The 13983-nt window shown below is 45.8% G+C and overlaps 1 protein-coding gene across 4 annotated transcripts in view; it reads right to left on the bottom strand.

Moving 5' to 3' along the window:
* Positions 1–13983, bottom strand: part of OBSCN (obscurin, cytoskeletal calmodulin and titin-interacting RhoGEF) — a 170833-nt gene that overhangs the window by 113590 nt on the left and 43260 nt on the right. For 2 of the 4 annotated variants that reach the window (NM_001386125.1, NM_001271223.3), the window contains exons 16-18: positions 8361–8636; positions 5511–5786; positions 896–1171 (exon numbers count right to left, since the gene is read on the bottom strand). In NM_001386125.1, coding sequence (NP_001373054.1) covers positions 896–1171; positions 5511–5786; positions 8361–8636 — 828 coding nt within the window. The remainder of the gene's footprint in view (positions 1–895; positions 1172–5510; positions 5787–8360; positions 8637–13983) is intronic. The other 2 variants (NM_052843.4, NM_001098623.2) reach the window with 1 other exon arrangement.

Below are 13983 nucleotides of genomic sequence, written 5' to 3'. Positions count from 1 at the left end.
AAATAAATTTGTTTCTCAGACTTCTCTATGAAGCAGCCATGGAGGCTCAAACACAGTAACCATTAGGAAATTCTATAAAGTAAATACACATGTCAAACAGAGGCTGCTATGAAGGGAACTCGCCTTTGACGAAGTGTGGTGGTGTCACCTACTCTACTTATTCTTTTCCATTTCTAAATCAAACTACAAGAACACTGACACCAAATACTCCAATTGAGGACAAAAGGAAAACATGCTTTGTTTTAGAAATAGTATTCTAAGCCCATGGATGCACTGCAGGCACATCTCCACTGGGGCGCCACTCCTTACGATTCACACAATCACAACAAATCAGGGATCTACATTTTGTAACATATGGGAAGAGGGAAGAGTGTTCCCCTTTCTCTAAAACTATGATAAGCCAAATTTTAGTTTTGGGAAAATTCCAAGGACAATTCGGTGACTGAAAACTCCCATGATCTTGGTTGGATGAAATGGAGGCATCTCCCCTCCCCCTGGCAAGAGCCATATGCTCCATAGGGTGAGGACTCAGGAGCTACCAGACATTCAACAACAGCACATTCACCTCTGTGCATGTGACAGACACCCGGTCCACCTCAACCCCCAGTGCCAGGGGCAGCGAGCCTCCTTGGACACTAAGAAAACCAGGAAGGTGCCCCGCAGGTGTGACTGCGCACTACCAAGTACAAACATGCCTCCGGGTTTGCAGGAACAGCCCCTCTCCCTCCCATGCACACCCCTCCCTTGGCCCAGCCACAGGGATGGAAATGGGAGTGGAAAGATGGGAAGCCCGAGACATGAAGGCTGAAGGAAAGTGCACAGAGATATGCTGGGGCTACGAGCCAGAAGCACCATCACCTCTGAAGAGGCTCCTCAGGACCTCCAAAGCACTGACCTGCCACGTGCAGGTGGAAGGACAGCCGCTGATCCCCGGCCTTGCAGCTGTACTCCCCGGCGTCCGCCTGGCCTGCCTCCTGCACCACCAGCCTCCGTGTGCAGCCCACGGCCTCCATTCGCACTTTCGAGCTGGAGCTCAGTTTCTTCCCGTCCTTGTACCACGTCACCTCTGTCTGGGCCTGGGCCACCTCGCAGCTCAGCGTGGCACTGGTCCCCGCCTCAGCCTGCACCTCCCTGCTCGCTGGCTGCTCCTTGGCAAACACCGCCTTGGGCTCTGGGGAAGGCAGGGATGCATAGGGTGACCACCACCATCAAGGTCAGGAAGGCAGCACTGGGGAGAGAAGGCCTGGGCAGGGAGGAGGGAGCAAGAGAACCTTCACCAGCCTCAGGCTCTGCACTGGCTGTGTGGTCAGGAGAAGCCCCACCACCTCCCAGCACAAGGAACACAGTTTCTCCTTCCATTTCGCACGGCACCAAGGGCTGCCCCAGGCAGGGCCGCCATGACAGATCCTCCAGGGCAGGGACTGGGGTCCTGACACCTGCACATCTCCGCTCATGGATGTGCCGGGGTCTCCCCAGGGGACTGTGCAGGGCACGTCCTCACCCCAGGGCCCCAGAGTCTGAGACTCCCGCTCCTGCCACTGTCAGGAGGGTCAGCTCTGGCCTCTTCGGAGAGGGCCTGGGCCTCCTGTGGCTTCCTGGGTCCCTGTCGGGAGGACTGTCAAGCTGGGCACCTTCTGATGGTTTGGGGACGGAGTCTTCACTCTTCTGTGATGTCACTATTAAAGTGTTTTGCCCAATTTTCTTTCTTTCTTTTTTTTTTTTTTTTTGAGACAGGGTCTCACTCTGTCGCCCACGCTAGAGTGCATTGGTGTGATCATAGCCCACTGCAGGCTCAATCCTTAGGCTCAAGACATCCTCCCAACTCAACCTCCCAAGGAGCTTGGGACTACAGGCATGTACCACTATGCCTAGCTCTTTAATTTTTCATTTTCTAGAGGCAGGGTCTTGCTATGTTGCCCAGACTGGTCTCAAATTCCAGGGCTCAAGCAATCCTCCTGCCTTGGCCTCCCAAAGCGTTTGGGTTACAGGCATGAGCCACCACGCCCAACTCCAATTTTCAATAGCACTGTCTTTTACATATTTATTTTTAGGAACTTCATATAATTAAATGCTATGTATGTTACAAACATCTTCTCCATCTCCGTGCCTTGCCCTTTCACTCCTGTATGAAGGTCCTCTGATGAAATAAAGTGATCAGTTTTATTGCAGGCAAATATATCATTCATCCTGTGTGGCTAGTGCATTCATGTTCTGTTCAAAACATCTTCTATTACCCACAGGTCACCAGATAATCTATATTATCTATATTATCTGGTAAGAGCTATACTACCCATACATTGAGTTGATTTCTTGTATGGGGAGGTAGACACCCAATTTTATTTTATTTTTGTAAACTGTTAATCGTCTTAGCACCATTTGTGAAAAGATCACCCTTCCTCTACACCACCTCCTAGCACCAGGGTAAAAAATAAAGAAAGGGAGGAGGAATCTGATTCCATCAAAGCTGTTTTGAGCTCAGTATTCAAATATTTTGATCTGTTCATCTCTTCCTGCCTTTGGGTCCAGGTATCTGGAGCACTGCTGCTTTAGAGGACACCCTGCTGTCTGGTACAGCAAAGGCCCCCACACTGCATTCCTCAAGGGCAGCTTGGCCTTTGCTATGCGCTTGTCAGCATTCTCTTACCCAACAGAACTATGGTTGACTGGGATTTACACTTTCAGGTCTCCTACAGCTTTCTAACCATTTATTGAGATATTTTTTACTGTCTCTCAACAATGTTTAATAATTTCCCCCCACAAACCATCTAAAGGTCTTTTGTTAGGCTTGCAGTTGGTAACTACAAGATTTTGGATGGTACTGGAAATCTCTTAAAACATTATTTTCCATCTGCTTGTTTCTGGTACATAGATCTAGAAATGTTTTCTGTATATTGATTCTTTTATGTGGTAACCATTCCCAAATCTCTTACTAATAATTACTTTTTTGGGGCTTTCTAAATTAATAACCATATCATCTGTGAGGTGCATGTTTTATTTTCCAAGTTTTCCACCTTGTACTTTCTTTTCCTCCTCTGTCTGCTATACAATGTTGGAAGAAGTGGTGATGGATGGTGTCCTTGTTCTGTTTCCAATCTCAAAGGCAACGCTTTCAAGGTTTCATGTTTGTGTAATGTTAGCTTGTTTTCTTTATACTATTGCTTATGAAATTAAGGAAAAATGTTTTTATTTAGAGTTTGTTAAGAATTGTATGACATGAATTGATGCTAAATTTTTCCAAATATTTTTGGCATATTTATGATGTTGTATTTTATCCAATGCTTTTAGTCTCCATATTGGAGTAATCACATTCGTTTTTCTTTCAATCTGTTAATGTCACATTTTGTACTGATTTTCTAATGTTTCTCATGTTAAACCATCCTTGCATTACTGGACTATGACTTTTGTCATTGTGTGTTATCCTCTTGATAAATTGCTGAATTCAGGGTGCTATATTTAGTTTAAGATAGTGAGCCTTGATATTGATAAGAGATTGACCAATTTTAATTCTTCATATTCACCCTGTCAGAGCTTGGTATTAATGATATTTATTACCTACATAAAATGAGATAGAGCACTGAGGTCCTTTTTCAATACTCTAGAGGAATGTCTATGAACACAGAATAATTTCTTTCCAGAATATTTGGTACAGTTTACAGTAGAGCACTGGGGTAACCTTCTATAAGATGATTATTTGTTGCATTTCTATAAAAGGTTATAGGACTGTTCAACTTGCCTATTTCTACTTTTGATATAGTTTTGAAGAAATTGATCAATTTGCCAAAACTTTTCAAATTTACTTGCATAAATATAGGGTTAGGCATGGTGGCTCACACCTGTAATCAGAGCACTTTGGGAGGCTGAGGTGGGTGGATCACCTGAGGTCAGGAGCTCAAGACCAGCCCGGTCAACATAATGAAGCCTTGTTTCTACTAAAAATACAAAAAAATTAGCCAGGTATGGTGGCGCGCGCCTGTAGTCCCAGCTACTCGGGAGGCTGAGGTGGGAGAATCGCTCGAACCCAGGATGAGGAGGTTGCAGTGAGACAAGATCGAAGATCGCACCACTGCACTCCAGCCTGGGTGACAGAGTGAGACTCCGTCTCAAAATAATGATAATAATAATGGCATGTTCTCAAATAACAACATTTCAAGTACCTACAAAGTGGGGTTTCTGGCATCTGTACACCCCCAAGAACTCCTACATGCTGATGTGACACCAATGTTAAGTGTCGGTACCTATGAACAAGTGTGTGACTGCACTCCACCTCCATCCGACAAAAGACTCTCTTACTAAAGGAAAATAGAACTCGTTCTCAGATTTCTCTATCAACTAGCCATGAATTATTAGAACGGTATGAAACACATACTGCTTTATCTGTCAGTGGCTGCTGTATAGTAATTCATCTTTAAAATGTGTGCTGATGTAGCTTGATTTGTTTATTCCTCTTCAGTTTTAAATATACAAAATTAAACTAAGGGAAGTTCAGTCACAGAATGTTCTGACATAAGAGCAAATGAAAACAACATATACTTTCAGAAGATAATTCCAAACCTCACAGTGGTGTATCGCAGTCCAGAGCCACCAATTCCCAGTTCTGCATTTATTCTGTAGGCAGTGTAATAAAAACAAGCCAGGTGCAGTGGCTCACACCTGTAATCCCAACACTTTGGGAGGCCAAGGCGGGTGGATCACTTGAAGCCAGAAGTTTGAGACCAGCCTGACTAGCATGGTGAAACCCCATCTCCACTGAAAATACAAAAATTAGCCAGGTGTGGTGGCAGGCGCCTGTAATCTTGGCTACTTGGGAGGCTCAGGCAGGAGAATTGCTTGAACCCAGGAGGCAGAGGTTTCAGTGAGCTGAGATCGTGCCACTGTACTCCAGCCTAGGTGACAGACTCTGTCTCAAAAACAACAACAACAACAAAATAAAAAAACCCAGGATATAGATTTTGCCACATGTGGGTGCACAGAGACTTTTTATGCCCATAAGAAAGATGAGAAGAGGGTCCCCGAACACCTAAAACTTGGATAATCCAAAGTTCAATCATGAGATAATTCCAAGAATGATTGTGTGGCTGAAATTTGCCCTTATCCTTGTTCAATGGAATTCAACCATCTCTCCACAGGGGGAGCCCTCAGGTCGGGCTGGTGAGGCTGGGTGCAAGCTCTCGGATGGCCTCAGGTGAGAGACATCTGGTCTACTTCAGCCTCCAGTAGCAGCCCCTCAGTTCAATTGAGCCAAAGGGCTGGACACCTGGGAGCACCTGTGGGTTCTGACTGGGTGCTGGGAATATGTGAACAGCATTACTGCCTGGAAACACAACTCACAGTGTCTCCTGTATGCATTTATCCCTTCTGGCCAACCTCGGGCCAGCCATGGGTAGGAAAATGGCAGGTAGGATTACGAGAGACTTCCAGAGATGAACTCTAATGGAAAGAGTACTGGGGTCTATCAGCCAATCTCATCAACACCTACACACAAGGTAACTCAGCATCCCCAAACCACTGACCTGCCACTTGCAGGCGGAAGGAGAGCTGCTGGCCCCCAGCCTCACAGCTATACTCTCCGGTGTCTGCCTGGCCTGCCTGCTGCACCACCAGCCTCCGTGTACAGCCTGCAGCCTCCACATGCACTTTCAAGCTGGAGCTCAGCTTCTTCCCGTCCTTGTACCAAGTCACCTCTGTCTGGGCCTGGGCCACCTCACAGCTCAGTGTGGCGCTAGCCCCTGCTTCAGCCTGCACCTCCCTGTGTGCTGGCTGCTCCTTAGCAAACACCGCCTTGGGCTCTGGGGAAGGCAGGGATGCACAGGGTGGCCACCACCATCTAGGTCAGGAAGGCAGCACTGGGGAGAGAAGGCCTGGAAGGGGAAGTGCGAGGGACAGATGCTCTCCAGGCTCTGCACCACCGCCTCCCAGTACAAGGAACACAGTTTCTCCATCCATTCTGCATGCAGGATCTGTCACATCCCCAGGGCACCCTGCAGAATGGTGGCATGTTCCTGTGGTCCCTGCTGCTTGGGAGGCTGGTCTCGAATGCCTGAGCTCAAGCAATCCTTCTGCCTCAGCCTCTCAAAGTGCTGGGATTACAGGTATGAGGCACCGTGCCAGGCCTGATGCTAAACTTTATCAAACAGCTGTTCAGAATTTATGATGTTAAATTTCATCAAACTTTTCTTCTGCATTTATTGAGATTTTCTCTTTCAATCTGTTAATGTCATGCATGACATTTTCTGATGTTTTGAATATTGAATATATTGAGTATAGCATTTCTAAATTATGCCTTTTATCATAGTGCATTTTCCTTTTGACATACTGGTCATACCACTTTGAAAATATATTGTTGAAGCATTGGCCTGGATATCCATAATGACTGGCCTGTAATTTCAAATCTTTATACTGTTGTCATAATTGGTATCTATGTTATGCTATCCACATAAAACAGGTTCAAGAGTGTATCTTCTCATTCTATTCTCTGAAAGGATCTCTAAGAACATTCAATAATTTGTTTTGAGAATATTTGGTATAATTTATCAGTAGATCCACTGGGCTTAGACCTTTTATAAAAATATTGTTTATTACTGGTTCCACTTAATTAAAAGCTATAGGACTATCTGAGTTGTCTGTTTCTTCCTGTGTAACTTTTTCATAGTTTTCTCTAACAAATTGGCAATTCTCCAAAACTTATAAAATGTATTACCATTAAAGAATTTATCGCACTCTCTTAACACAATATTTTAGAAAGATACACAGTGGGATTTTTTGGTATCTATATATACACAACTACAAATGATTATATACTGATAGAATGCCAAGCTGTCATGGGTTGGCATTTGGGAGTCAATGTAGTACCACAACCTTTTTCTCTCTGACATTTAGCCTGTTTTGTTGTTGTTGTTGTTGTTGCTTTTATTTTTTTTTCCAGAAACAGGGTCTCACTCTGTTGCCCAGGCTGGAGTGCAGTGGTGTGATCATGGCTCACTGCAGCCTGGAACTCCTGGGCCCAAGTGATCCTCCTGCCTCAGCCTCCTGAGTAGCTGGGACTACAGGCGTGTGCCACTTCATCCAGCTAATTTCTGTAGTTTTTGTAGAGACGAGGTCTCGCTATAGTGCCTAATCTGGTCTCAAACTGCTGGGATCAAGCAATCCTCCTGCCTCGACCTCCCAAAGTGCTGGGACTACAACAGGCATGAGCCACTGTGCCCAGACTCTCTTAACAAAATATATACATATATTAGGTGTGCTGAGATAGCTTAAGCTCTTTCTTCCTTTCCACTGCTAAATTCATAAATCAGACTCCAAGGGGGAATTCTGACTCAGAAAGTTGTTAACTGGAGACAAAAGGAAAGCCAGAATAGCCTTAAGAAGAGGCCGGGAACAGAGGCTCATGCCTGTAATCCCAGCACTTTGGGAGGCCAAGGCAGGCAGATCATGAAGTCAGGAGATCGAGACCACAGTGAAACCCGTCTCTATTAAAAATACAAAAATTAGCCTGATGTGGTGGCGGGTGCCTGTAGTCCCAGCTACTCAGGAGGCTGAGGCTGGAGAATGGCGTGAACCCAGGAGGCGGAGCTTGCAGTGAGCCGAGATGGCGCCACTGCACTCCAGCCTGGGCGACCGAGCGAGACTCCGTCTCAAAAAAAAAAAGAAAAAGAAAAAAAGAAAAGCACTTGGAATCTTGCAGTTGTATCCCAGGGGCACAGTCACCAGCCCTCTGGGCTGGGATTTTTTGCACAGACACTGCAAGAAAACAAGGACCGAGATTTTGCCACATATGGGTGCACAGTGAGCTTCTAAAGCTTCTAGATCCATAAAATAAATAAAATAAAAAAAAGGAAAGAGGCTGCCGGGACACCAAAAGCTTTGATGCCCCGAAGTTCAGTCTGGAAAGAATTCCAAGTGGGACTGCATGGGCAGAATTTCCCCTTATGTGGGTCATATGAATTTGAAACGTCTCTCATGGGCTAGAAGCCCCACGTGGTGCGGAAGGGAGGCAGGTACTGAATGACAGAAAGGACATCCCCACTTTCCCAGGGGAGGCACCTGGTCCACCTCAGACCACAGGTCCAGACAGCGCCAGGGGCCTGGACACCAAAGAGCATGGGGGTTTGGAGTAGGGGCTCAGTGTGATGAGGCTGCACTGCATGGGAGCACTGCTCCAGGTGCACCACAGGGCCTGGCCTCCCTGCACCTTCCCATCCGGCCAAGCCTGGCGCAGCCAAGGGTATGAAACCGGGAAGTGAGGGCATGGAGAAGTGGAGAGGTGGAGTCTCATGGAAAGGGCACTGGAGGCCGTGGAGTCCATCAGCCAGTCTCATCATCACCTCCACACAAAGTCACTCTCCAACCCCCAAAGCACTGACCTGCCACGTGCAGGTGGAAGGAGAGCCGCTGGCTCCCCGCCTCGCAGCTGTACTCCCCGGCGACCGCCTGGCCCGCCTGCTGCACCACCAGCCTCCGTGTGCAGCCCACAGCCTCCATGCGCACTTTCGAGCTGAAGCTCAGCTTCTTCCCGTCCTTGTACCACATCACCTCCGTCTGGGCCTGAGCCACCTCGCAGCTGAGTGTGGTGCTGGCCCCCGCCTGGGCCTGCACCTCCCTGTGCACTGGCTGCTCCTTGGCAAACACCACCTTGGGCTCTGGGGAAGGCAAGATGCACACGGTGACCACCAACATCTAGGTCAGGAAGGCAGAACTGGGGAGAGAAGGCCTGGAAGGGGAGGCGCAAGGGACAGACGCTCTCCAGGCTGCACCACCACCTCCCAGCACAAGGAAGTTTCTCCATCCATTCTGCATGGTGCCACAGGCTGTCTTTGGTGGGGTGGCTGACAGATCTTGCCCACACAAGCTCATCTGGGGCAGGGATTGGGGTCCTGACGCCTGCACCCTTCCCCTCATGAATGGAGCAAGGGTCTCCCAATGCGGCTGTGCAAGACGCATCCTCACCACAGAACCCCAGTCTTGAGGCTCCCGCTTCTGCCACTGTCAGGACGGTCAGCTTTGGCCTCAGCGGGGTGTGTCGCTGTGGCTTTCTTCATTGTTTGATGGCTCACAGGGCTGAGCATCTTTCTAGAGGATTGGCCATTCCTGTTTGCTCCTCTGTGGTGTCACTACTCAATTCCGTCCCATTATCAATAGCACTGTCTTGTTGTCTTTATTCAGTTTAAGAAGGCAGTCCCCAACATTTTTGGCAGCAGGGACTAGCTTCATGGAAGGCAATTTTTCCACAGATGGGGGTTGGTGGGATAGTTTCAGGATGAAACTGTTCCACCTCAGATCATCAGGCATTAGATTCTCATAAGGAGCACAACCTAGATTCCTCCAATGCACAGTTCACAATAGGGTTCATGCTCCTATGAGAATCTAATGCTGCTGCTGATCTGACAGGAGGCAGAGCTCAGGCGGGAATGCTCACCTGCCACTCACCTCCTGCTGTGCGGCCCAGTTCCTAACAGGCCACAGAACAGTACTGGTCCACAGCCTGGGGGTTGGGGACCCTGGCTTTAAGGTCTTCTTCATATATTTTAATGTTAGAGAGGTCACAATTATGCACTTTGTATCTTCCCTACCTGTGTGACTTGGGTTTTCATCTCTTATGGCACCTTCTGATGAATCAGACCTTTTAGTTTTAATGTACTCAAATATATCAATCTTGTCCATTGTGGTTAGGGCATTTGTGTTCTATTTAAACACTTCCTTACCCTAAATTCTGTAGATAGCCTATGCTTACCATCTTGGGGTTTATTGTTTTACCTTTTACCCTGAGGTCTCTAACCCACCAGGAGCTGACTCTCGCGCATGCTATGAATTACCAATATGCTTTAATTCTTCCCATATGTTTAAAATGGTCCACACACTAGTTATGAAAACACTATCCTTGGCTGGGCACAGTGGCTCATGCCTGTAATCCCAGCACTTTGGGAGGCTGAGGCGGGCGGATCACGAGGTCAGGAGATCAAGAGATCAAGACCATCCTGGCTAACACAGTGAAACCCCGTCTCTACTAAAAATACAAAAAAATTAGCCGGGTGTGGTGGCGGGCACCTGAAGTCCCAGCTACTCGGGAGGCTGAGGCAGGAGAATGGCATGAACCCGGGAGGCAGAGCTTGCAGTGAGCCAAGATGGCGCCACTGCACTCCAGCCTGGACAACAGAGCTAGACTCCATCTCAAAACAAAAAAAAAAGAAAACACTATCCTTTCTCTACTTCTTGCACAGATGCCATGGTTAAAAAAAAAAAAAAAAAAAAAAAAGGAAGGGGGACATCCAGAGATCACTGATGCATAGAACTGTTCCTGAGCTCACTATTCCATTTCTTTGTTCTGATATCTAACCATTCATTGAAATCCATTGTCTTAATTACTGTAACTTTATGATAATTTTTGACATCTGGTAGAGTAATGTTCATACTTTGATTTTCTTTTCATTCCCCCACAAAAAAAAATTGTTTGGATCCTGATTGTTAATGAATATATTTTAATGTTTCATGAATTTCTATCCATTTAATTAGATCTCTTAATTGTCTTGCAAAATATACAACAATTTCCTAGCCCCTCCCCAGGCTTTAAACATCTTTATTAGACTTTGAATTAGAAACACTGTAATTTTGATGCTACTGTAAGTCTTTTCAAATTTCATTTTGCAACTGTTTACTGCTGTATATAGATACAGAAGTATTGTCTGTGTGTTGATTTTTTTTTTTAACAGAATAATCATTCTCAATGTTACTTAGTCTACTAAGTTCTCTATTGGATTTTCCAAGTGGATGGCCATATCATCAGTAAATTTCACTTTTACTTTTTCCAAGTGCCATGCCTTTTGCGTTATTTTCCTCCTTACCCTTATGTACAATGTTGGATACAAGTGGTGACACTGCCCTGTCTCCTTCTCTGAACCAAACCTTTCAAGGTTTGCTCTGAGTGGGATCCTAGTGGTGCTTCTCTAGTACCATTTATCAAATTAAGGAAGAACACTTCTATAAAGTTTGTTAAGAATCCTATGAAATGAGTTGATGCTAAATTTTCTCAAATATATCTTCTAGATTTTATCAAATACTTTTAATCTGCATTTATTGAGATAATTACATCATTTTTCATTCAATCTGTTAAGGTCAAGCTTATTATACTGATCTAATGCTTCTAAAGCCAAACCAGCCTTGCATTCTGGGACCAGGATCTTCAACAGAGTGCACTGTCTTCTTGATACATTGCTGAATTCCATTTGCTAATACTTTGTTTATGATTGTGTTCTTGATATCCATAATGACAAATCCATATAGATTGGTCGACAATTTAATTCTTCCTACTTCCTTTGTCAGATTTTGGTATTAATGTTACGCTATCTACATAAAATGATGGCCTGGGCATGGTGGCTCATGCCTGTAATACCAGCACTGTGGGAGGCCAAGGCGGGTGGATAGCTTGAGCCCAGAAGTTTGAGACTAGCCTGGGCAACATGGCAAAACCCCGTCTCTACTGAAAAAAAAAAATACAAAAAAATAGCTGGCACACATGCTATTTTTGTGGTGGTGGTGCATCCCTGTAATCCCAGCTACTTGGGGGGCTGAGGTAGGAAAATCACTTGAACCTGGGAGGCAGAGGGTGCAGTGAGCCAAGATCATGCCACTGTACTCCAGCCTGGACAATAGAGTGAGGCCCTGTCTCAAACAAACAAACAAACAAAAAAAAAAAACCATAAAATGGCATATGGAGTCAATCTCCTTTTTCTATTCTCCAGAACAATATTCATGAATATGGAGTAACTGCTTTCCAGAATATTTGAAACAGTTTACTAGAAAATTATTGGGTTTAAAAGATTTTTTTACTACTGCCTCCATCTATTTAAAACTTATAGGACTAAGTTTTCTGTAACCTTTTATGTGAGTTTTCATGTAATTTACTAGGAATTAGCCAAATTGTCACAACTTTTCAAATTTATTACATAAAACATTTTGTCATATTCTCTGAAAATAACTTCACAGAAATATACAGTGGGATTTCTGTTATCTATACACATCCACATAACACTGATGCTGATGTAATACCAAACTTATGTGTTAGCACCCAGAGGTCACCATGGGACTTCAGCCCACCCCTATTTGGCATCAACACTCTCTTTATTTTAAAAAAAAAAAAAAAAAGGAAATTAATTGTATTTCTCAGGCTTCCCTATGTATCAGCCAAGGGAACACAGATATACACAGCAGCAAACACACTGGACTTGCTGGTGAGACATTTGCATTCCAGAGGATGGGAAATAAATCTGACTAAAATTCAGGGACCTCCCACCTCAGTAAAATGTCTAGGGGTCGAGTGGTGTGGGGCCTGTCAAGATATTCCTTCTAAGGTGAAGGATAAGTTGCTGCATTTGGCCCCTCCTACAACCAAGAAAGAGGCACAATGTCTATTTGGATTTTGGAGGCAACACATTCCTCATGTGGGTGTGTTACTCTGGATCATTTATCAAGTGACCCAAAAGGCTGCCAGTTTTGAGTGGGGTCCAGAACAGGAGAAGGGTCTGCAACAGGTCCAGGCTGCTGTGCAAGCTGCTCTGCCACTTGGGCCATATGACTCAGCAGATCCAGTGGTGCTTAAGGTGCCAGTGGCAGATAGGGATGCTGTCTGGAGCCTTTGGCAGCCCCCACGGGTGAATCAGAGTGGAGGCCTTTAGGATTTTGGAACAACACCCTGTCATCTTCTGCAGATAACTACTCTCATTTTGAGAGACAGCTCTTGGCCTGTTACTGAGCTTTGGTGGAAACTGAACAATTGACTATGGATCATCAAGTCACCATGTGACTTGAACTGCTTGTCATAACCTGGGTGCTTTCTGACCCACCTAGCCATAAAGTTGGGCATGCACAACAGCATTCTATCATCAAATGGAAGTGGTATATACATGATCGGGCTCAAGTAGGTCCTGAAGGCCCAAGTAAGTTACATGAGGAAGTGGCTCAAATGCCCATGGTCCCCACTCCTGCCACCCTGCCTTCTCTCCTCCAGCCTGCACCAATGGCCTCATGGAGAGTTCCCTATGATCAACTGACAGAGGAAGAGAAGACTAGGGCCTGGTTCACAGACGGTTCTGTACGATATGCGGGCACTACCCAAAAGCGGAGAGCTGCAGCACTACAGCCCCTTTCTAGGACATCCCTGAAGAACAGGGGCAAATGGAAATCTTCCCAGTGGGCAGAACTTCAAGCAGTGCACCTCGTTGTGCACTTTGCTTGAAGGAGAAATGGCCAGATGAGCGATTATACACTGATTCATGGGCTGTAGACAATGGTTTGGCTGGATGGTCAGGGACTTGGAAGAAGCATGATTGGAAAATTGAGGAAGAGGTGTGTGGATGGACCTCTCTGAGTGGTCAAAAATTGTGAAGATATTTGTATCTCATGCGAGTGCTCACCAAAGGGTGACCTCAGCAGAGGAGGATTTTAATAATCAAGTGAATAGGATGACTGTGGACACCACTCAGCCTCCTTCCCCAGCCACCCCTGTCATCACCCAATGGGTCCATGAACAAAGCAGCCATGGTGGCAGGGATGGAGGTTACACATGTGCTCAGCAGCATGGACTTCCACTCACCAAGGCAGTCCTGACTAAGGCCACTGCTGAGTGCCCAATTTGCCAGCAGCAGAGACCAACAATGAGCCCTCGATATGGCACCATTTCTCAGGGTGATCAGACATCTACTTGATGGCAGGTTGATTATATTGGACCTCTTCCATCATAGAAAGGGCAATGGTTTGTCCTCACCAGAATAGACACTTATCCAGATATGGGTTTGTCTATCCTGCACACAACACTTTGACCAAGACTACCATCCATGGATTCACAGAATGTCTTATCCACCGTCATGGTATTTCACACAGCACTGCCTCTGACCAAAGCACTCTATGGTTAAAAAAGTGTGGCAGTGGGCTTATGCTCATGGAATTCACTGGTCTTACCATGTTCCCCATCATCCTGAAGCAAGTGGATTGATA

The sequence above is a fragment of the Homo sapiens genome, chromosome 1 (assembly GCF_000001405.40).
Source record: "Homo sapiens chromosome 1, GRCh38.p14 Primary Assembly".
NCBI lineage: Eukaryota > Metazoa > Chordata > Mammalia > Primates > Hominidae > Homo > Homo sapiens.
The sequence above is the reverse complement of the archived record's forward strand: the minus strand, read 5'-3'. Positions and strand labels throughout refer to the sequence as shown.